At 52.6% G+C, this 22,446-nt stretch overlaps 3 long non-coding RNA genes across 5 annotated transcripts, besides 1 other annotated feature; 1 reads left to right on the top strand and 2 right to left on the bottom strand.

Annotated features, from left to right (window-relative positions):
- Positions 306-4,451, top strand: LOC105378572 (uncharacterized). 2 transcript variants are annotated; one of them, XR_007062348.1, is made up of 3 exons: positions 306-1,514; positions 1,959-2,064; positions 4,148-4,451. It is a non-coding gene; the product is annotated as an uncharacterized LOC105378572 (long non-coding RNA). The 2 variants fall into 2 exon arrangements; XR_946499.2 differs by lacking the exon at positions 306-1,514 and adding an exon at positions 1,541-1,654.
- Positions 906-22,228, bottom strand: LINC01166 (long intergenic non-protein coding RNA 1166). Of its 2 annotated transcripts, none has more exons than NR_120627.1 (2): positions 22,125-22,228; positions 906-3,420 (listed from the first exon to the last, which is right to left on the bottom strand). It is a non-coding gene; the product is annotated as a long intergenic non-protein coding RNA 1166 (long non-coding RNA). The 2 variants fall into 2 exon arrangements; NR_120626.1 differs by lacking the exon at positions 22,125-22,228 and adding an exon at positions 3,966-4,235.
- Positions 18,279-19,176, bottom strand: LINC01167 (long intergenic non-protein coding RNA 1167). Its single transcript, NR_125763.1, has 2 exons — positions 18,698-19,176; positions 18,279-18,403 (listed from the first exon to the last, which is right to left on the bottom strand). It is a non-coding gene; the product is annotated as a long intergenic non-protein coding RNA 1167 (long non-coding RNA).
- Positions 18,774-19,669: an enhancer, noted in NCBI's record as "H3K27ac-H3K4me1 hESC enhancer chr10:134775339-134776234 (GRCh37/hg19 assembly coordinates)". NCBI's record gives its function as "activates a minimal SCP1, AML or CMV promoter by ChIP-STARR-seq in naive H9 embryonic stem cells {active_cell/tissue: H9 hESC(naive)}" and the evidence as "EXISTENCE:reporter gene assay evidence [ECO:0000049][PMID:30033119]".
- Positions 22,229-22,446: the final 218 nt, after the last annotated feature.

Below are 22,446 nucleotides of genomic sequence, written 5' to 3' on the forward strand. Positions count from 1 at the left end.
AAGTGCAGCGGGCACAGAAAGTCGCGCAGTGGAAATGCGGGCTGCGGGCGTGGATGGGGCCGCCGGGTCTGGGGACGAGCTAAGACCTGGCAGCAGGGGGTGGCCGAGGCGGGAGGAGCAGACGCAGAGCCCCGGCCCCCACGGAGAGGGTAGCAGCGCAGCCACCTGCCCCCCGGGGCTCCCCACCTCCCAGCCGGGGCTGCTTTCCGGCCGGGGTCCGGACGGCGCCTACGACCGACCCGAATTGGAGGCTTGGCGGGGCGCGCAGCCCCCGCGCGGGGAAGCCGGAGCCACTGAAGGACTTGGGTCGGCCTGGGGAGGGGAGGGCCCGGGACTCACCCCGGGGTGGGCACACTAGGGGAGCTCTAGGGGAGGCCCACCTGGGGTAGGCCCACCTGGGAGAGGACCCCCTGGGAGAGGCCCACCCACGAGAGTCCCACGTGGGAGAGTGGAATTCCACCCGGGAGAGGCCCACCTGGGAGAGGACCCCCTGAGAGAGGACCGCCTGGGAGAGGCCCACCTGGGAGAGTGGAATTCCACCCGGGAGAGGCCCACCTGGGAGAGGACCCCCTGAGAGAGGACCGCCTGGGAGAGGCCCACCTGGGAGAGTGGAATTCCACCCAGGAGAGGCCCACCTGGGAGAGAACCCCCTGAGAGAGGACCGCCTGGGAGAGGCCCACCTGGGAGAGTGGAATTCCACCCGGGAGAGGCCACCATACCTACATGGGATCAAATAAGCTGCCTGGACATAGTTTTGAAACCTGAACGTCGTATGTTTCTCAGGCTCCTAGAGCCCCACCCCGTCTTGAAGTTGGCAGCCTCAGATCCCTGCTAAATGACCATATTCCTTCCCAAAGACAGTTCTCAGATGGGCCTTTGTTGGTAAAGACACTCCACACATGGGTACAGCCTCGATAAAATATTTATCCCCTCAGAGAAAGTATATCCAAACATAATGTAGTAAGAGATTTCCCAAATCCAAGGGCATTAAATATTAAAACTCAGTTTTCTAGTTACACATTAGCCTTAAATATCAAGAGTGCAACACAAAATTATCACAGAACGCAGGAAAAGGAGATGAGAAAGGCCGCAGATGGGCAGCCAGGTGGGCCGGGGCACAGGGCAGGGTCGGAAAGGGTCCCCAGCCCAGGAGCTTCTGTGTCCGTGGAGTGGGGGGCACCACCCTCCTGGCCCGTGGATGTGTTCAGCAACCTGGAACTGCTCGGGACCCATAGTCCAGGCATTCTTATGGAGGCTCCATCGCAGACATGAAGGATGATGGTGGATGATCCCTGGAGGAGGGTGGGTGCAGGGTTGAGAGCTGCAGGTGCTAATCCTGGCTGGTCTCTCTGGTGACTGGACCCCCTCCAGGAGCCACCAAGCCTCACCTCATTTGAATGGAAGAATCTGCTGCCATCACCCAGGAAATTCGAGGGCTTTTGGAGCCCTGTGCGGGGTCTCGGGAGCAGAGACCAGATCTATTCATTTCTCATTTCATCACCCCATCTTGCCAGGTAGAGACGGTGTCTGTGTCTGGGCTCCCAGGCTGGACCCCAGAGGCCTGCTGTATATGCGCCCGCTGGCGTTGCCATCACGGGGCACTCTCATGGGCGGCTTAAACAGCGGGAAAGGAGGCGGGAAGGCCGAGAACAAGGTGCGGCCGGAGTTGGTTCCTTGGAGGGCACCCCGCGTGGCCGTATGTGGTCGTCTTCTTGTCTGTGTCTCGGTGTCCAAATGTGCCCATCTTATATGGACACCAGCCATGGGGTTTAGGGCCCACCCTGGGACCTCCTGTTAAATAGATCACCTCTGTGAAGACCCTGTCTCCAAATAAGGCCACATTCTGAGGCCGTGGGACTAGGACTCCAGCATAAGAGTTTCAGGGGGACACAGTTCAATCCATGACACTTGCTTAACCAGAAGGTGGTGAGAATTCTGAACATTTGTAATTTCATCAGGTGAAAGCCAGGAAGATGGGTGAATTGTTGTTTAAAACATCTCAGAATATATACATGAGCAGAATGAGCAGAACAGAAGTTAAAGATAGAGCTTCTTCCAGCGCAGGTGAGGCCAGTAATCAAATCCCACTGGTGTGTATGTCCGTAAAAGAGAACTTAGTTGAAATCGACCTGGCATCCCAGCTCCTGGGGACAGGCAAGCAGAAGCCGGGGGCAGGAGGGACGTGGTGATGTGCGGGGTCCTCGCTCTCCCCGGCTCCGCTCAGAAGAGCAAGGTGCCGCCCCCCACTAGGGGAGCTGGAGAAGGGGTTAGGTGGAGTTGGGGAGGCACGGAGGGTCCCTGGTAGCGGGGTGCTGGCAAGCAGGCTCTCCAGGGAAAAGCGAAAATGAAGCCCCTGGTTGGAAGCATTTGCACATCCTCCCACCACCGCTGTTTAAACTGCCCCAGGGGCAGCACCAGCTCACAAAGCTGCACATCTCACAAATGGCCAGGTGGAGCCCAGCTCTGGCTTGGTGACCCCTCCAGAAAGGCGGGGTCCTGGGGACCCCAAAGTTGGCTGGAAGCCGACCTGCACCGCTGTCCCAGGGGCCTGTGCTCTCCTCACTCTGCCTGGCTGGTGTCTGGCCCGGCAGTGCTTTGTGGCATCGGCTCCACTTTGGGGCCAGTCGGTGCCGGCACGGCTACTTTACCTATGGCTTGAGAATCCAAGTGTGGAGTCTGGGAAAGGGGGCTGGGCTGGAATCCCCACGTGTGAGGGCTGACTGAGACTGGGCCCGCAGGAGAATGTTGGCCCAGGGAACCAGGAAGAACTGACCTAGAGTCGGGAGAGACCCCAGGCCACCTTTGTGTGTTGGGCCACGCAGTGGTGAAGACCATGGGGTGGCCACCCAGCTACGGTTGGTGGAACCCCAGAGCCCACTAGGGGAGGGTGTGGTGAGTGCATGTGTGTGACTGTGAGAGTGTCAGCAGGAGGGGGTGGGTGTGTGTGAACTGTGTGGCTGCGTTAGGGTAAGTGTGTGCCATGTGTACACAAGAGTGCGTGTGTATAGTGTGTGACATGTAAGCATGATCATGTGTGTGACCATGTGTCTGAGTGTGCATGTGTATGCATGTGTGGCCCTCCCCTGTGGAGGCACAGGGGAGCAGGTCTCTAATCCACAGACATCACCGACGACCTGTGCAGGGCCAGGCTCTGGGGATCAGCAGAGAACAAAAGGGGCAGAAAGCACTGCCCCTGGGGACAAAGACCACACTGTGGGGTCCGGCAGCTGGGAGGGGGGCCTGGTGTTTTCTGGGAAAGCAGCTTCACCCCCCAGGAAAGCAGGAGGATCAGAAGAGGGCTCCTCACCCCCACGGACACCTTTCCCGGTGGGACAGCTCCTGAACATGGAGCGTATCAGCAACCTGGCAGCCGAGCTCCCGCGTCTCCAGGATGACGGCCGAGGGTGGTGTGCACATGCCCTGAAAAGACAGGGAGGAGAACATCCGCTGTCATCCCCAACAGCCCAGCACTCAGCACCCAGCACCCAGCACCCCAGCACTCAGCACCTCAGACCATCATCCCTAACAGCCCAGCACTCAGCACCCCAGGCTGTCATCCCCAACAGCCCTGCACCCAGCACTCAGGATCCCAGGATCCCAGCACCCCAGCACCCCAGCACCCCAGCATCCCAGCACCCCAGCACCCTAGCACCCCAGCATCCCAGCACCCCAGCATCTCAGCATCCCAGCACCCCAGCACCCCAGCATCTCAGCATCCCAGCACCCCAGCACCCCAGCACCTCAGCATCCCAGCACCCCAGCATCCCAGCATCCCAGCATCCCAGCACCCCAGCATCTCAGCATCCCAGCACCACAGCATCCCAGCACCCCAGCATCCCAGCACCCCAGCACCCCAGCATCTCAGCACCCCAGCACCCCAGCACCCCAGCATCCCAGCATCCCAGCACTGCAGCATCCCAGCCTCCATGTATCCCAGCACCCCAGCATCCCACTACCCCCAGTACCTCCAGCATCCCAGGATCCCAGGAACTCAGCATTGCTGCATCCCAGCACCTAACCTGGGGTCACACATTTTTATCTGATGAATCTGCAGCTCTTAATTAATGCTTCTACCTGCCTTCCCTCTGCCTTCTGCAGACACCGTGCACAGGTGATGTGTACATGTATATTCTTTTTTGGTTCACAGAAATGGCAGTTGCATCATACCTGTTTAGCATCATGGCTTCCAGCTAACTACCCATCCATTCACTGGAAGATATTTTTGAAGCCTTGCTGTGTCATTAGAGCAGAGCCTCGTTCTGAACTCCTGGTCCAGCAGGCCCTGCTGCAGAGGCTGCTGCAGCTCATGGCACACTTGGACAGCGGCAGCACTCTCTTCTCTGAGGCCTCTCTCTTCAACGTTTTGTAAGACTGTATTTGCATGTTTATTTTTATGTAAATGCTGAAACATCTGGTCTAGTTTAAAAAATAAACACAAAACACAGCCAAAAGCACACTGTTGGCATTTTCTCCGGTACAGGTTGATTTAAAGAGAACTGCCGTAAGACCGTGTGTCTTCTGATCCAGCCGCAGTGGGCTTTCTCACTCGCTTGCCTTCGGTGTGCATCTGCTTGCTAATACTAAGAATTTGTGCCTCGATATTGATAAGGAAGGTGATTCTGTGATATTTTCAAACAAACAATGTGGAAGCTTGATCTTTCCTTCTGTGCTCCTGAACTGGTTCATAGCATTGTAATTACATGTTCCTTAAGGTTTGCGAGAACTTGTAAGGTGGACTTTTCTTTCTCATTTGGAGCAAGTGTGTATATGTATGTGTGTGTGTGGGTACGTTTGTGTATGCACATGCTGCATGTATGTGTATAGCGTGTGTGTATATGAATGTGTGAGCATGTATGTGTGCATATGTATATGTATGTTGTCTTCATGTGGGTGTTTATGTGTGCATGTGTAAATGTAAGTACATGCATGCATGTGTGTTGTTTGGTCATGTGTGTACATGTGTATGTGTGTGCCTGCGTGTCCGTGTGTGCACGTGTGTAAACATGTGTATGCATGAGTATTCATGTGGATGTGGATGTATATGTGTAGATGGAGATATGTGTATATGTGTGAGCATGTGTACCCATATGTAAGCACGTTCATGTGTGCATTTGTGTGGATATGGATATATATGTGTATACATGCACTGTGTATATCTATATGCATGTATGTGCATGTGTGCATGTGTATGTGTACACGTGTGTGCATGTAACCACACATATGTATGCGTGTTTGAGTGTGCAAGTGTACATACGTGTAAGCACATGCATGTGTGTGTATATGTGCAGGTGTGTGAAGGGATCCAGATCACACTTTGTGGTGTAAGGATCATTTTGAGCTGATGGTGTTTGGGGATCCACAGTGCAGGAGGAGGCTTTCTCCACAGCGGCCTTATCTGCCTAAAAGCAGAGGCTTCCAGAAGGACTCAGCCATCACCGCCCAAGGACTCAGCCGTCATGGCCCAAGGACTTGGCCATCACCGCCCAAGGACTCGGCCATTACTGCCCAAGGACTCAGCCATCACGGCCCCTTGAAAGGAGGCTTCTGGTACCAAGAGACAGAGCAACTCCAGTTGCTGGAGATGAGAAGTCAGCACTGGGATGAGCAATGGCACACACAGACCTTTCCCAAGCGGACCTTGCCCTCCGTTAGCTTCCTGTGTCTCTCTCGCTCGTTTCCCACCACATGCTGGCCCTCAGGGTCCTACCTCCTTCCCCTTGATAAGATGGTTTCTCAGCCCCAAATTCTAGCTGCTTCTTTGAGTCACTTTCTTCCTGAGTATGCATGTGAATCAACTTTACCCTTTGCTAAACCGTCTTTTGTTTCATTTGCAGGCCCCCAATAGAGAACCTGAGATGACAGAGGACAAGTTTTCCTCCAACATAAGCATGTGTGGCTGACTGTCGTAGCTCTTTAACACTTCTCTCATAGCTCTTTAATACTTCTCCTGTGGTAATTGGCTCCTCCAAAATCAGTTTGATAATATTTTCCTTAAAAAGCATTCATTTCATCCAGATTTCAATATGCATAGTGTTGAACAAAGTAGTCTTATCATAGTTGTTTTTCACTTACTCTGCATCTGGGCTATTTTCTGATGCTTATTTCTGATTTTATGTATTTCTTTTTGGTTAGGTTTGTTGATGGTTTCTGTATTTTATTGTTTTCCTTTTTTTTAAAAGAACCAGCTTTGGTGCCTATTAATTGATCCTATCATTTCCTGCTTTTCAAATCATTAATTTCTTCTTTATTCCTTAGTAAGTTGTTGATGAAAATAATCAAACTCTGTAAAATATTTAAAGATATTTATTCTGAACCAAATATGAGTGGCCAATGGCCCCATGACACAGCCTTCAGGAGTTCCTGAGAACATGTGTCTGTGGTTGTCAGGCCACATTTGGTTTTATATCTTTAAGAGAGACATGAGACATCCATCAACACATGTAAGACGTACATCGTCTCCGTCTGGAAATGGGGGACAACTGGAAGCGGGGGGCTTCCAGGTCATAGGTAGATTCAAGGATTTTCTAACTGGCAATTGGTTGAGTCAAGTTATTGTCTAAAGACTTAGAAAGAAATGTCCAGATTAAGATAAGAGGTTGTGGAGACCAAGGTTTCATCACGCAGATGAAGCTTCCAGGTAGCAGGCTTCAGAGAGAATAGATCATAAATGTTTCTTGTCAGAGTTAAAGAGTCTGTTCTCTCAGTAATTCCAAAAGGGAGGAGGGATAATGAGACACCTCCAGCTCCCCCTTCCCATCATGGCCTGAACTAGGTTTTCAGGTTAACTTTGGAATGCCCTTGACTGAGAGGCAGGGTCCATTCAGATGATCAGGGCTTAGAATTTTATTTTTGGTTTACAAAGTCCTTCTGTCTGCCTCACTTAGCTATGTTTTGCAGTTCTTGAATTGGATGTTTAATTTACCTATTTTCATGTTTTCTTGTTAACTGATAAGCATATGAGACTATGAATTTCTATCTGAGCACTCTTGGCAGTATCTAATAATTTCTGACATGTCTTGTAAAAGCACAATTCTCAAACTGTTAAAACTCTTTTTTATACAAATAGCTGCTCTATGTGACAAAGTTCTTTTTAACTCATGAATGAGGTAACGGACAGAATGACAGCATGACTTCACAGAGTATTTGAGGAATTGAAATTAAATGGGAGAGAGATTGTTGATGAGGAAAGCCAAAGTCTAAAATATTTAAAGAAGTTTCTTCTGAGCCAAATATGAGTGGCCATGGACCGGGGTACAGTTTCAAGAGCTCCTGAAAATGTGCACCCAAGGTGGTTGGGTTACAGTTCCATTTTACATATTTTAGGGAGACAGAACTTACAGGCAAATCAATACATATAAGGTGTACATTGGTTCAGCCTGGAAAGGTGAGACATCTTGAAGCCAGGCAGCGCAGGGGCATTCAGGTCTTAGGTGGATTCAAAGATTTTATGATTAGCAATTGGTTGAAAAAGTTAAGCTTTGCTTACAGTTGAAGTCAGCAGAAAGAAATGCTTAAGATCGGAGGTTGTGGAAGTCAAGGTAATTTTTGTTTCATACATGAAGTAGCTTCAGAGAGAGTAGATGATAAACATCTCTTTCTGGACCTTAAAAGGTGCCATAAATCTCTTAGGTAAATCTCTCCCGGATCAGGAAAGGACCTAGTAAGGGAAGGCCACTCTCTATAGACACAATTTTCCCCTACAAGAGTGCACTTTTCCCAGCCATTTCAAAACATGTCAAAGAAACATATTTGGGAGTAAAATACTGTGCTTTTCTTTAGGGTCTGCTATCTGCTGTCATGCAATGCTATGCCAGAGTCAGGTTGGAATTTGGTATCTAATTGCCACAAAAAGTCTATTTGTCAGTCTTATGATCTCTACTTTAGTATAAATGCTGGTCAGCTGTGCCTAAGCTCCAACAGGGAGGGGGAGCCCAGCCTCCCTTCTCATCAATAATCCAGTTTTTCAGGTTTCCTGGGGTCCCCTTGGCCCAGAGGGAGTCCAGTCAACTGGGGGGGGGGGTCTTAGAATTTTATTTTGGGGTTATGAGATCATTAGATAAGTTAGGTCCAAACCTGGTTCATGTCCTACAAAAAGCGTAACCTCTAGGGTTATCTTCTCCAAAAAAATTTCCGCATTATCACCTTTCTGTAAGACGCCCTCCAGTTTCATGGGGCTGCAGTACGGCAGCCTTGGGGGCCGTAAGCGGGAAGGCAGTGAGGCCGCATTTTCCGAGGGAGGGGAGAGTGCTCTGCTGTGATACTAAAATCACTCACCACTAATTTTCCTCAATTTCAAACTTTGGAGATATTTTCTTGAACGTGGATTTTCTTCTTCATTGTTTTCTAGATATTCTGTAAAGAGAACTTTATTTTCTTTTGGCTTAATAGTTATGTTAGAGAGTTAAAAAATGTTCAGATGGTGAGGTTTTCCGCTTCACGGTATTGACTTCAACCGGCAGTGGTACTGCGCTGGGATTGGTGAACGTCGCCTGGCGGTGTGTATGCTTTGGAATTCGTGGTTTCCTCTGGGCCTCGATACGCCATCCATTTTTGTGATTGTTCCATGGGCACTTGAAAGGCCTTCGATGAATATTGGTTAGAACTGTGTTACTGACGACGCTCTTCAGGCCTCTGAAGTGTCTGTCTGGCTCTCCCTGCACACCCTTTGGCTCTGTCACTCACTCTCAGCAGATGCCAATTCCATCCCATTCGGAGCACAGGGGTTTGCTGGGGCTTCTCTGTGGCTCATATCCTTTGCTACCACCAAGTGCCCATCTGTCTCGGTCAGCACTTGTTTCCTTGAAGCCAGCCCTGGCGAGGAAGATCACAAACCTGCCTTTTCCCTGCTCCTTCACTGCTTCCTTTATTTTGGTATAATTTACATGCAGCAAAACGAACAGGTGGTAAGTGCTGCGTTTCCGTGAGTTTTGGAAGTGTGTGCACGTGGTCACCCACACCCCTCAGGACGGAAACCACCCTGTCACCCCACAGAGGCCCCTGTGCCCCTCCCAGTTGGCCCTACCCTGCCCTGGGGCACCTGTGCTCTGACTTCAGCCACCACAGACCAGAGTTGCCTGTTGTAGAACCTCCTATAACGCAGAGCACAGGGGTTTGCTGGAGCGTGTGCTCAACGTGGCAAGTGCAATTCTGCCCAAATCACGGAATTCAGACGGGACTAATGCAGCTCCTCCAGTCTCAGCGGCCATGACCCTGGAGCGTGAGGACTCCAAACCCCACTCTTCTCCACTCTTGGAGGGAAACACCTTGTGCAGCCCAGTGTGCAGACCTTTCCAGGAACACCCCTTCCCAGGGCTGGCACCCCCTGAGAAGTGAGTGGCAGCATGGTTTTGCTTCAGTCAAAGGAAAAAGTCTCTAAGTGTGGAGGTTAGACACCACTCAGAGGGGGCTGGATATTGTATTTGGAATGGAAGCTTTTGCCAATGTCCTGAAATCCCACAAATAGGGATCACTCACTCTGTTCTTTCTCCTCCCTCCCAGCTGAGGTGTGCAGAGAGAGAGGGCGGCATGCAGGAAGGGGTGCAGGTGCAGGTACTGCAGGGTGTGGCAGGGCAGGAAAAGCCTGCCCTCTGAAATGCAGGCCCTGGAAAGCCAGAAAATCCCGGAGTCCCATGGAGGAAGGATGCATCCTCTTGAGATGGCTGTGGATGCCCTGCTGGGGAAGTGAGATCCACGGACCTCTCTTCAGCTCTGGTCTCACCCGGAGCTCTCCCAGTTTATCCACAGTCACTGGGCCATCCAAAAGTCCACCCTGCCCATCTTAATTTTCCTTAAAAGCTGCATTGCCTCCTAACTTCAAATCATTAGCAAAGAGTTGTGCAAAACATTATCCAAGGATCTGAGCATCAAGCACTTTAATTCTCTCTGTCTGTGGTCAGTCTCACGTTCCCAGTCCTAATTTTGTGCATTGACATTTTCTTTGATTTGTTTTTCTTGCTTTAATTATCAGGTGGTTTAGCAGTTTCGTTGTGGTCATTTTTTTTCTTTTTTTCTTTTTAAACAGCTCTGAGAAAATAGTGAACCAGCAGGCATGGTAGGTTCCACTCCAAACCCCAGATGCCTGGGGACACTGGTCAGAGCAGGGAATGGCCGTGTGGGCAGTGGAGGAGGTGGGCTGTATGGGAGAACTCATTTCTTCTTCCCTCCCCTTGTCTCTCTGGCTGGTCACTGCTAACACTGTTGATGAAAAGAGTCAAACTCTGTAAAATAATTGAAGAGATTTATTCTGAGCCAAATACGAATGACCATGGCCCGTGACACAGCCCCAGGAGACCCTGAGGGCATGCGCCCAGGGTGGCCGGGGCACAGCCTGGTTTTATACACTCAAAGGAGATGCATCTCAGTACACTAAGATGTGTTGGTTCAGTCTGGAAAGGTGGGTCAATGAGAAGGGGGAGGGGGCTTCCAGGTCGTAGGCAGATTCAAAGATTTTCTGATTGGCAATTGGTTGAAACAGTTATTATCAATAGAAAGGAACATCTGGGTTAAGATAAGGAGTTGTGAAGACTAAGGTTTTATCACGCAAGTGAGGCCTTCAGGTTGCAGGCTTCAGAGAAAATAGACTGTAAATGTTTCTTATCAGAGTTAACGAGTCTGTTCTATCAGTAGTTCCAAAAGGGAGGAGGGATAATGAGGCACGTCCAGCTCCCTGCTCCCATCACAGCCTGAACTAAGTTTTCAGGTTAACTTTGGCCCCTGGCTAAAAGGAGGGGTCTGTTCAGATGGTCGAGGGGCTTAGAATTTTATTTTTGATTTACAATAAGACAACAAAAGTAGACATTTAAAACACAACTGGAAACTAACAGCCCTACTCGCTGAATAAAAGGCCTGTGTCTTAAACAACTTTTAGGTTCAAGAACAAACCAAAACTTAAATAAATTAAATAGAATATCTCAAAAATAGCAAGAAGGAAAGCTGTTACATATCACTGCCAGAGGCAGTGCTCAGAGAAAAAGTACTTATGATTATAACCCAGACATAGTATTTAACCATCCAACTCAGGTTTTATTAAAAAAAAATGACATTGCTCTAAGAAAAGTACAAGGAAGGGATTAAAAAGATAAAAATAGAAGTTAATTAGAAAACAGAAGAACCAAAGCAACAATAAATAAACCCAGCACCTGATCAGCCTGTTGGTAATTAAGAAAAATGGAGAAAATACAGATCACAAAATAATAAATGGAAAAGGAGACATCACACACATTTACAGTGAAGAATCCTATGGCAGCACTCTGCTGCTATGGATTTTATCTTTTCTAGGAAAATGTAGGTATGAAAACTCCCCCAAAAGAGAGAAAATCTCTCAATGGACCAATGACTGTAGAAGAGACAGAGAAAACTGTTAAGAACTACCCAGCCCTGCCCAGAAAATCAGGCCAGACAATTTCACAGAGAAAATGTGCATCATCTTTATGGAGATGGTCACTCTGTTGCTTTTTAAAAGATTCTGGAGCATAGGAGAAGAAAGAGAGCTTCAAAACTAATTTTCAAAGGCAGAATAATGTTGACATTCAATTTTGATGAAGGTAGCACAAAAGTGAAAGCTACAAGCCAGTCTTGCCTGTGAATGTCAATGTAAAAATCTTAAATAGGATCTTAGCCAGCAGAATCGGCAGTGGATCAGAAAGAATGACCCATTGGGACCAGCCAACGATTTAACACTACGACATTGATGACTCTAATTCCTCCTGTTGCCGGCTGTAAAAGAAAAAATGTGATTACTTCCATAGATGTCTAAAATGCACTTGATAAAATCCAGCGTCCATTCTTGTGTAAAAACCCTAAATAAATTAGGAATGAACGGGCATGTACAACATCCCACTTAACGGGAAATATTATGGCCATTTTCACTGTCAGAAACAAGGCAAGGATGTTCGACATGACCTTGACGAAATTTGATCAAAGACAGGAATCAGAGGCACAAATCTGAGAAAGGTGGAGGTGAAGGCACTGGCATGTCAGGGTGGTCAGGTTGTGCACTGCACAACCAGGACTTGATCCCTGACCAGAGGGCGCCCTCAGAGCAGGTGCATAACACAGGGTGACAAGCCACAGACTCCCTAGAAAGCAGTGACCAGTTAGAAGAAAAATGAGAAAATAATCCCACTTACAACAACCGCAGCAGCACAGATAAAATGCCTAGGAACTACAAGATATTCCCAAAGAAAACCATAAATGTTACTGGCGACTGGAAGAGAAGACTGGAAAAAAGAAGGAAGGACTGCCGCATTCTTGGGTAGAAAGACTCAGTATTACAAAGATATTAATTATTCCTAAGTGACTCGGTACATTTAGTGTGATTCCGTACCAATGCCAACTTATGTACGAGTGTGTGTGCGTGTCCGTGTGTGTGTGTATTCATGTGTGAAGAACTGGGCAAGTTCGTTCTCAGTTTTATTTAGAAAACCAAATATGCATGGATTCAAAAAAATTCTGTGGCAGAAGCAAGGATGGACTAGTCCTACCGGATAACAGACATTTCATCGAGGTAGGAAGTTAGCACTGTTCGAGAGCCATGAACCGGTCAGTGGAGCCGCTGCAGTCTCCAGACCACGGTGGAGCCACCCAGAAATGCAGTGGCCAGAAAGGTGCCCTGCTCACTGCAGAGGGGGTCCTGCAGCATGTGACAGCGGGGCTAGGAACGAGCCAACTTGGGCCTCACACGCTCGCACCAAATGCATCTGGAAAAATCAAGTTAAATTAAAAAATAAATAAATCCAAAGCATTTCAGAAGAAAAGAGGAGAACTGTAAACATCCTTGGCTTGAGGAATGACTATGACGCAAAACCCAGAGAGCATGAAAGATTGACAGACACAACTGAAACTGCCTTTGAAAATCATAACGAAGGAAATGATGACAGTTAAAGGTATCGGACCTAACCGACTCCATCTTGCTTCTAACCTCCAAACTGTCCGCGTCCATTCCGGGGCGTAGGCTGAACTAGCTTTGGGAAGGAATTTAGTTTATAGTTTAAATAATAGCCCTTCCCAAAAGCTAAACTGCTCTTGTAAAATGAATGAAAGGCCACCAGCTACCAAGTTAGAATGAGACAGGCTGGAATTCTAAATATTACCAGCCATGATTCTGGAGGTCATATGACTTGCAACTTCCCCACTTACTCTTGAGGATATCATCACTATTGTGAACCTAAGCTCAGCCTGCTGAGATGTCTTTTCAGGTTTTTGATTTCTGACAACTGGATGGCCCCACCTGAAACTGCCAACTAGTTCTGTGACCCTCACCCAGGAACTGATTCAGCAGAAGAGGACAGCTTCGACTCCCTGTGATTTCATCCCAAGCCAACCGGTCAGCACCAGATTCACTGGCCCCTGCCCATCAAATTATCCTTAAAGACTCTGGTCCCCTACACACCATGGAATACTATGCAGCCATAAAAAATGATGAGTTCATGTCCTTTGTAGGGACATGGATGAAGCTAGAAACCATCATTCTCAGCAAACTATCGCAAGGACAAAAAACCAAACACCACATGTTCTCACTCATAGGTGGGAACTGAACAATGAGAACACTTGGACACAGGAAGGGGAACATCACACACCGGGGCCTGTTGTGGGGAGGGAGGAGGGATAGCATTAGGAGATATACCTAATGTAAATGACGAGTTAATGGGTGCAGCACACCAACATGGCACGTGTATGCGTATGTAACAAACCTGCACGTCGTGCACATGTACCCTAGAACTTAAAGTATAATAAAAATATATATATATTTAAAAAAAAGACTCTGGTCCTCGAGTTTTCAGGGAACTGATTTGAGTAATAATAAAACTCCAGTCTCCCGCAGAGCCGGCTCTGCCTGAATTACTCTTTCTCTATTGCAATTCCCCTGTCTTGATAAATCAGCTCTGTCTAGACATCGGGCAAGGTGAACCCACAGGGTGGTCACACAGCTACATAAAAACCCTAAATGGTCAAACCTCTCCGCAAACAAGTAAAAAAGGCAAACGTGTTGCTGAAGAAGCATTGGCAGCAGGCAGTGTTTCCTGCAGATACATGGCCAATTCCCTTATCGACCCCCTTATTGATCTCTCCCCAGGATCCTCCGAGGCCTCCTTTAGATCAGGCCTCAGCCTCGGGCCCTGTCCTCAGCTGCCCTCCTTGGGGCGAGCCACTCCTGCTTTGCCTGCCTGGCCCTGATGGCAGTTCCTGTCCGTCATGCCAGGCTGCGCTGGCAGTGGCCGGTGTATCAGTCTGGGTGATCAGAGGTCTTGCTGGGAAGTGCTATGTGGCTGAGCGCTCTAATCTCAGCCCCTGCACCTCAGTGCAGCTGAGCACAGAGCTCCTGGGGCTGGCCAGATCCCTGTCAGTCCCTCAGGGTGGGCCCGCACCTGGAGCACTAACAGCTGTCTCCCAGCCCTGCTGAGAGCCATGTGGAATCGGCCTGTGGTTAAGCGACATCCACTACAGTGAAAATATAAAAAGGAGCCAGGCCACCCTGTGTTCACCAACAGGCCTGTGAAAGCCCCTCTGCCACATCCTACATCAAATATCCCATCTCTGAAGGCACTGGGTCTCATCCCATCTCTGAAGGCGCTGGGTCTCACCTGAGGACCGAGGGAGGATCCCCTCTCTGAAGGCGCTGTGGCCTCATCTGAGGACCGAGGGAGGATCCCGTCTCTGAAGGCGCTGGGTCTCATGTGAGGACCAAGGGAGGATCCCATCTCTGAAGGCACTGGGTCTCATGTGAGGACCGAGGGAGGACCCCGTCTCTGAAGACACTGGGTCTCATATGAGGACTGAGGGAGGATCCCATCTCTGAAGGTGCTGGGTCTCATCTGAAGACCGAGGGAGGATTTCGTCTCTGAAGGCGCTGCGGCCTCATCTGAGGACTGAGGGAGGACACCCTAGGGCCCTCGCCCCTCCTTCCCCCACCACTCTGAAGTGGGGGTCCCTCTCTGCCGTGCCAGGAGGCCAGCCCTCCTCAAGCTTCCACAAACAGGGCAGAGCTCCGCATGCAGTGTGCTGGGGGCAGGTGGACTCCTGCGTCCCAAGCTCAGGCCCCCGGGGGTCACTGCGGGCTGGTGGCAGGTCCAGTGGGCTCAGCTCCCATTTGGTCCCTTCCTTCCTGGATGAACGCAGACCCCTTACCTGACCACCGAGGCTGGATCTCTCCGTCCACAAATCAGAGACCCCACCCACATCGAGGGTCCTGCCTGTGTCTGGGGGCTGCAGCAGGGAGTCCCGCACCCATCGGGACAGCTACAAAGCTGGGGAGGGATCTGCTGGGGATGCCCACAGGACCTGGGGTGTGGGGCAGGCAGGACGCGACACCTGGCAGGACTTTAGGACATGTTGGTGCCCAGACCTGTGGGTTGACAGCGAGGCCCGGAGCACGGAGGCCGCCTGTGTGGCTCACATCAGAGCTTTAAACATTCAGTTTGACAGGGTGTCGGGGCGACTGCCCTTCCTTGTGCTCAGGAAGAGTCGGGCAGGCCTGCTCCTGCAGGGCGCCGGTGGTGCTATTTTAGGCGTCCTGCTCTGAAGGGCCTCTCTGCGCCCCGTGTGCTCACAGTCTAGGTATTGAACAGGCAGGCCCTATCCTCCTCTGAGCACCAGGACAGAGCGGGCGGCTGTTTAAATGCAAGATCAGTCAGCTGTGGCAGGATGCAGTGATTTGAGAGAAAATGTCACAACTCTACCAGCGAAGTTGGAAACTAAATCGGGACGTCACAGTGACCTCCCTGGCTTGCACACAGCCAGGTGACAGGCTGTGCGGAGCCGTGGGGCCCTCCCCCTGGGATACCTGCTGACACCAGGCTGGGCAGGGCCCTTCGGAAGGCGAGTGGGAGGACCCAGGAGCTCCTGCTCCTGAGCCCAGGGTCACCTTTAGGGAGCACTTTGGGGGGTCAGTTGTGCACCTTCCGGAAGGAGGCAGCGAGACTGGGGAGCAGCAGGAGGAAGCCGTGGCCAAGGTCCCTGCAGAGCCAGCTGCTCTGAGCCTTGCCCAGGGCATGGCTGAAACGCAGCCCCAGGCTCCATGCCAGTTCTCCAGGCACTGGCCCAAGGTCTCCTCCTCTTGAAGAGCTGCTCAGGTTAATTTCCCACGGCAGCGGGATTCCAGCGTCCTCCCTCCCTCAGTCCTTGTGGCGCCATCCCCTGCCTGGCCCTGGACCCCCATCCTCTGACGGGTTCCTCTTCCCCTCGTGCCTTTACTTACTTGACAGATGTTCACACCCCCACACGCTGAGCTCAGCATCTCCTGGTCACGGGTCCCTGGAGCCTGTGGGCCAGCACAGGGGGCCCGCCTGCATGTAGGACCTTCTCTGAACAGTCACCAGCTCCGGGCATGGCGAGGGCCCAGGGGTCTGTCTGACCTGAATCTCCCAGGTGGGAGCTGGTCTTTGAGGCACACGGCAGCCTCTGCACCACGTTTCGGGGGTCAGGAGGTGCAGAATAGCTCTGCAGGGGGAGGCAGGGGGTGACGCGGCCGCTCCTGGAGCACCGGCCTCGCCAACTCTGGTGGAGACCCCCAGGCTGTCGAGGGCCACAGCGATGCCCTCCTCTCCCTTTGCTCCTCCCCACCCAATCCCCCCTGCAGGGCAGCCTGGCCTCCTGCACAGACCGACAGGTGGGCGCTGGAGGCAACATGCCTGGACCAGGACTCCTGGGCCTCACCTGCCCAGTGTGCCTGCAGTACCATCTCCGCTCACCACCTGGCTGGGTGCATCTCTCCTGGGGGCCACCACACTCCAGGGATGCCGGTCTCCCTTCTCAGCTGGTATTTCAATCAGGGTCTGGAAAGGGGTGGCCTCCACTCCTCCTGTCCCAGGGGAGACTTGGGCTGGCCAGGTGAGGGTGGGATTCTGACCAAGGCGACCTCTCCTTCCCAGAGGGACAGAGGCTGTCCTGGGTGGGTAACCGCCCTTTGGTCTAGACCCTCCTGATCCCTCAGACCAGGAGAGACGGGGCATTTCTGATGTCGCTGCTTGAAAGGCAACCCAAACTGGAGCCTCTCCTCTGACGCGTCCTGCTGTCTGAATAAGCCGAGGAGGCGCCGCCACCTTGGTGTCAGTGCACGCTGAGGCCAAGGGCTCTCCTCCCGGACACTCATCGCCGGCCCCTGAGAGGAAGGGTGGACCCACCCCAGGCACAGACATGCCGGCACCTTCTGGGCTTCCTTGCCCCAGGGTTGACCTTTTGTCCTTATCCTGCCTGGGCTCCTCCTGGCGGCTCACACAAGGGTGGGTGTGATGTCACCTGGGCCGACCTGCCCCCGACTCAGCACCGAGGCTCCTGTGTGCCTCAAACCCGGCTCCCGCCAGGAATTCGAGTCAGACAGGTCCCTGGGCCCTCGCCATGCCCCAAACTGGCAGCCATACAGAGGACGCCCCGCATGCAGGTGGGGACCCACAATCAGGCCCCCGGGGCAGGTGGGCACCTGGGTGGAGGCCACGGCTTTCTCACCTGGACGGGGACTAAGGAGGCTCCTCTGCCCGTCCCCTGTCCAGGCCTCGCTGAGGCTCCTAGGCCATCACCTTCTTTCTCCTGACATCCCCACCCCTCCGGTGCCCCCCAGGCCCCCCCCAGTCAACTCCCACTTGGGCTCTTGTCTCAGGCCCGAGGCCAGGGCCAGCCTTGGCAAAGGCAAGATCTCTTCTGAGAACAGGTGCCGGCCTGGAGCCAACGGGTGGCCTTGGCGTCCGGTGGCCTCGGCCCCAGCGTCCAGATTGGACCCAAGGGGACGATCGCCCCACCACTGACGAGGGTGCCACGAATGGGGTTGTGGACAGGGGGTGTGAGGGGCTCGGGGGAGGTGGTGCTGGTGCGTGGCTGCTGCAGCCTGGGGACACAGCCGTCCTCACGCTCGGCCAAGGGTCACTGGTGACAGACGGCGAGGCCTCGTCCCCAGATGCCGCCTCCCACGTGGTTCAGCCAGAACGCGCTCCCACCTCAGCCCTCCCTGGTCACCGTGGGTGTCAGAGCCACCAGGGTGGTGCCATCCCGAGGGGCATTCCCTCGACAGGTGACAGCTCTTCCCAAACACTGCTGCCCCAGAGTGTGACAGAGGCCCCTGGTCCGGAGCCACACCACAGAGGGACACCCCCACGGCCCCTCGCACTGAGAGCGCGCGGCTCAGGCAGGAGCCAGCCTCAGGCTGCAGGCCCTGTGGGCGGACGGCGGAGGGAGGCAGGGCTGGGAGACGTTTTTTGTATCTATGAGTTAACAACAAACCCAGCCGGAACCCCAGGCTCAGATCTGCTCAGAAGACGGAGGGGAAGCAGCAAATGCTGGCGTCTGACTTGGATCCAGGACTTTTATTTTTAAGCTTTAAAAATGTGAAGAAGAGGATGTCACCAGCTAACGACGTCAGCAAACGTCTTGGAAAATTTGGAAACGTGTTGACCGGGTTGGCTGTAATTTATTTCTAGAAGTGTAAGCAAGAATTTGGGGCTGAGGGCTAAGAAAGGCAAAACCAGAAACATCAAGATCGGCTCAATGTGACCCCTGCCGCATGCCTGCTCCCAGGACCCCTCACCCCCAACCCCTGCCACACACCTGCTCCCGGGGGCTCCCCACCCCTCACCCCCACCTCATGCCTGCTCCCCGGCACTTCTCACCTGCTCACCCCTACCACATGCTGGCTCCCCTGACCCCCCACCCCTCACCCCTGCTGCACACCTGCTCCCCTGATCCCCCACCCCTCACCCCTGCTGCACACCTGCTCCGGCGATCCCCCACCCCTCACCCCCGCTGCACTTGCAGCCCAGCCTTGGAGTGCAGGCCTTTCTCCTTCACTCTTCCGCCTTAGGACGCTGGCCGTGTATGAGTGTCAGTGCACGGATGAGCGAGTGTGAGTGTGAGCCTGACAGGCATGTGTGAGCATGAGTTCAGTGTGTGTGTGAGCAAGTGTGTGTGTGCCTGCGTGAGTGTGCACAACAGTCGGCCTCTCCACGTGCATGTGCCAGGCCGGCAGGTCCAGCCCCCTCTGCTTCCTCCGCGTGAGGAGGGCTCACAGTCCCTGCAGGGCCTGCACAGCCCGGGAGACCAGCGATAGGGCAGGGGCTCCGGGAGCTGCCAGCTTGGCTGGGAGGACAGAATCACGTTGCTGATGGACGTCTTCTGAGAGAGGACTGGGACGCCATCATTCGAGTGAGGTTTGAGGTGGGAGTCGACTCCAGAGGCAGTACTTGGACTCCGGACCGGATTGACTAGTTAAAGCAGGGCTCGCGGAAGCAGCTTTCCCTAAGCCTCGCCCACCCGAGTGCCTGTCAGTTTTCCGTTGCCATAGCAACACCCGGGTGTTACCGCCCCCTTCTATGGCAATGACTCAATGACCCAAAAGTTACTACCCCTTCCCTAGAAATTTCTGCATAAATCGCCCCTTAATCTGCATGCGATTAAAAGCGGTATAAGTGTGACTGCAAAACTGCCCCAAGCGGCTGCTCTCTGCCTACGGGGCGGCCCCGCTGCAGGAGCAGTCAGGGAGCTGTGAGCTGTGGCACGGCCGCCTGAATAAAGCTCTTTCCTTCTACCTGCGGCTTGCCCTTGAATTCCCTCCAGGGTAAAGCCAAGAACCGTCGGGGCTCAGCCCCACCTGGGGGCTCCCCTGCCCCGCACCACCGAAGTCTTGGATGGGTAACTGGAAGATGCCATTGTGAATAGAAATATCCTTTCTCGATGAATTAGAAAATGAAACCAACTCCTGCATTAATTTTACACAAATGACATCAAGAGGGTTGAGAGAAGAAGGTGGCTGTCCCCAGCTCCGGGTCCCTGCCAGCCTTATGATAGTCTTCTAAGGCCATCTATTATTTCCTGAAATATTCATAGAAGTATGAAAAATTGAGCATGAGTGGTTTGCTTTGTGCTTCGTTATTTATTAAGCTTGTGACTTATTTTTCTTTTGGCGAAGAGCTTCCTATCTTTTCCAAGAAAAAAAAAGTGGGCCAGAATAACAGCCCTCATGTTTTGAGCTTGAAATTAAAATTTCGAAGACCTCCCTGTACAAAGTGAAGCTGAGTAAAGATGTTTACAAATGCAGATTGAAAATGAAAAATGCAAGGGCCTTTGTGACTCATTTTATGAATATGTGTTTTTATCAAAGAACTCCCATAAGTTGACTCGGAGCCTGATTTGCATCTAGGGTTTCATCCTTGCTTGGTGGTGGACTGGCCGTCCCTTCATCCCTTCTATAAGTCCATTAACATCCCTCCCTCCATCTGTCCGTCAACATCCCTCCCTCCATCCATCTGTCTATCAACATTCCTCCCTCCCTCCATCTGTCCATCAAAATCCCTCCCTTCATCCATCTGTCTATCAACATTCCTCCCTCCCTCCATCTGTCCATCAACATCCCTCCCTCCATCCATCCGTCCATCAACATCCCTTCCTCCATCCATCCGTCCATCAACATCCCTCCATCCATCCGTCCATCAACATCCCTCCCTCCATCCATCCGTCCATCAACATCCCTCCCTCCATCCATCCGTCCATCAACATCCCTCTCTCCATCCATCCATCCATCAACATTCCTGGCACCTGCTCAGCATCGGGGGGGCATCCCAGCCCTCACAGGGAGCAGGCACAGTAGGTACAGGTAGAGGCTCCCTGCCTGCTCAGCCCCAGGCCGCTCCTGAGAGCACCCCCAAAGCCACAGGTCACAGCACATTGCCCCTGATTTTACCCCATTAGGAGAGGGAAGATGTGCCCAAGGGGACTGGTGAGCCACAGGGAGGCGGATTCCTGGGCTGCAGCTTAAAACAAGACACTTGTTCCCTCATGGTTCCGGAAGCCAGAGTCCAAGATTGAGGTGTAGGCCTGCGCTCCCTCAGAGCTGCTCGCTCCAGGGAGATCCCTCCTCGGCGCTTCTGCTTCTGGTGACTCCGGGTGTCCTCAGCATCGCCCAGCCCCACCTCCATCTTTGCAAGCCTCTCCTTTCTCCCATAAGGATGCCAGGCACCGGATTTCAGGCCCATACTAAATCCAAGATGATCTCATCATGATATCCTTAACTTTTTACATCTGCGAAGACCCTGTTTCCAAACTGGTCACGTTTGTAGGAACCAGGGCTTAGGACTCGAACATATCTTTTGGGGAGACAAGATTCATCCCCCATGAGCATGGGTTCAGAGAGCAACGGCTTTAGCACTACCGAGGTCTTAATCCAAGCTTCCTGTCAGGATTTAATACAAGGGAGGCTGAACTGCCGGGGAGCTCAGAAATGCACGAGCAAGACATGAGCGTAGGGGAGGTTCCCGGGGTGCCTCGACTGTCCAGGCTTGCAGCTGCAGGTGGAGAGGAGGCAAGGCTGTTTGCCCATTTCAGCCTCAGAACAGTCACAGCCCAGCAGCCGGCGGCCTGTCCATGATGACCATTCTGCTCCGGAGCCTACACAGAGGGCACTGTTCACCCTGCGGCCGCCTCCCTGCGCTCCAAGGATCAGCCTCATGATAAGGTCAGAAAGAACCTTGGCTTTAGGGTCTGTCCCGCGTGGCCACCTGTTCTGTATGTTAAAACCGACTTGCCTGCCATTTCTCTTCTTATCCCTCACACCCACCCACCCAGCCTGGGCCAGGCCTGGTTCTAGGGCGCGGCCAACGGTCGGGGACAAAATATTCATGGTTTCTGGGTTCGTGGTCAGGCAGTTTGGGTGGACACAAGCAAGTGCCACGTAAAATAAGCAACGGTGAGAATGGTTATGAGTCGCAATGACACTGTGAGGCACTTTAACAGGCTCATCGGCGTGGCCCTAGGCCCTGCCCTCTGTGAGCCCAGGTCACCCCCAGGACGCCCAGCGGCTGCTGCGCCACCTCCCTCCTCCCACTGTGGCCAGGCCTGGCGGGCGGGTGCTGCCTCCCGACACGCACACTTTGCCGGGGCAGGTCCGCGCCAGCGCCGTCGCCAGAAGAGCCTCACAAAGACGCGGCTGCCACCGTTTGGCGTCTTTGAAGACTGTTCAGCAGGTCTGAGGATGAGCTGCTCTGAGGGTTTTTCCCAACTTACCATTTTGATACAACGTCAAACATATGTAAAAGTCACAAGAATACGACAAGGAACTGCCATTAGAGCCTTAGGCGAATTCACCAACTGTTCCCACTTCTCACCGGTGTCACCTTCCCACCGTTCCCACTCCTCACTGGCGTTACCTTCCCTCCGTTCCCACTTCTCCTCAACGGCGTTACATTCCTGCGGTTCCCACTTCTCACCGGTGTCACCTTCCCACCGTTCCCACTCCTCACTGGCGTTACCTTCCCACCGTTCCCACTCCTCACTGGCGTTACCTTCCCTCCGTTCCCACTTCTCCTCAACGGCGTTACATTCCTGCGGTTCCCACTTCTCACCGGTGTCACCTTCCCACCGTTCCCACTCCTCACTGGCGTTACCTTCCCTCCGTTCCCACTTCTCCTCAACGGCGTTACCTTCCTGCGGTTCCCACTTCTCACCGGTGTCACCTTCCCACCGTTCCCA

This window comes from Homo sapiens, chromosome 10, assembly GCF_000001405.40.
Source record: "Homo sapiens chromosome 10, GRCh38.p14 Primary Assembly".
Taxonomy (NCBI): domain Eukaryota; kingdom Metazoa; phylum Chordata; class Mammalia; order Primates; family Hominidae; genus Homo; species Homo sapiens.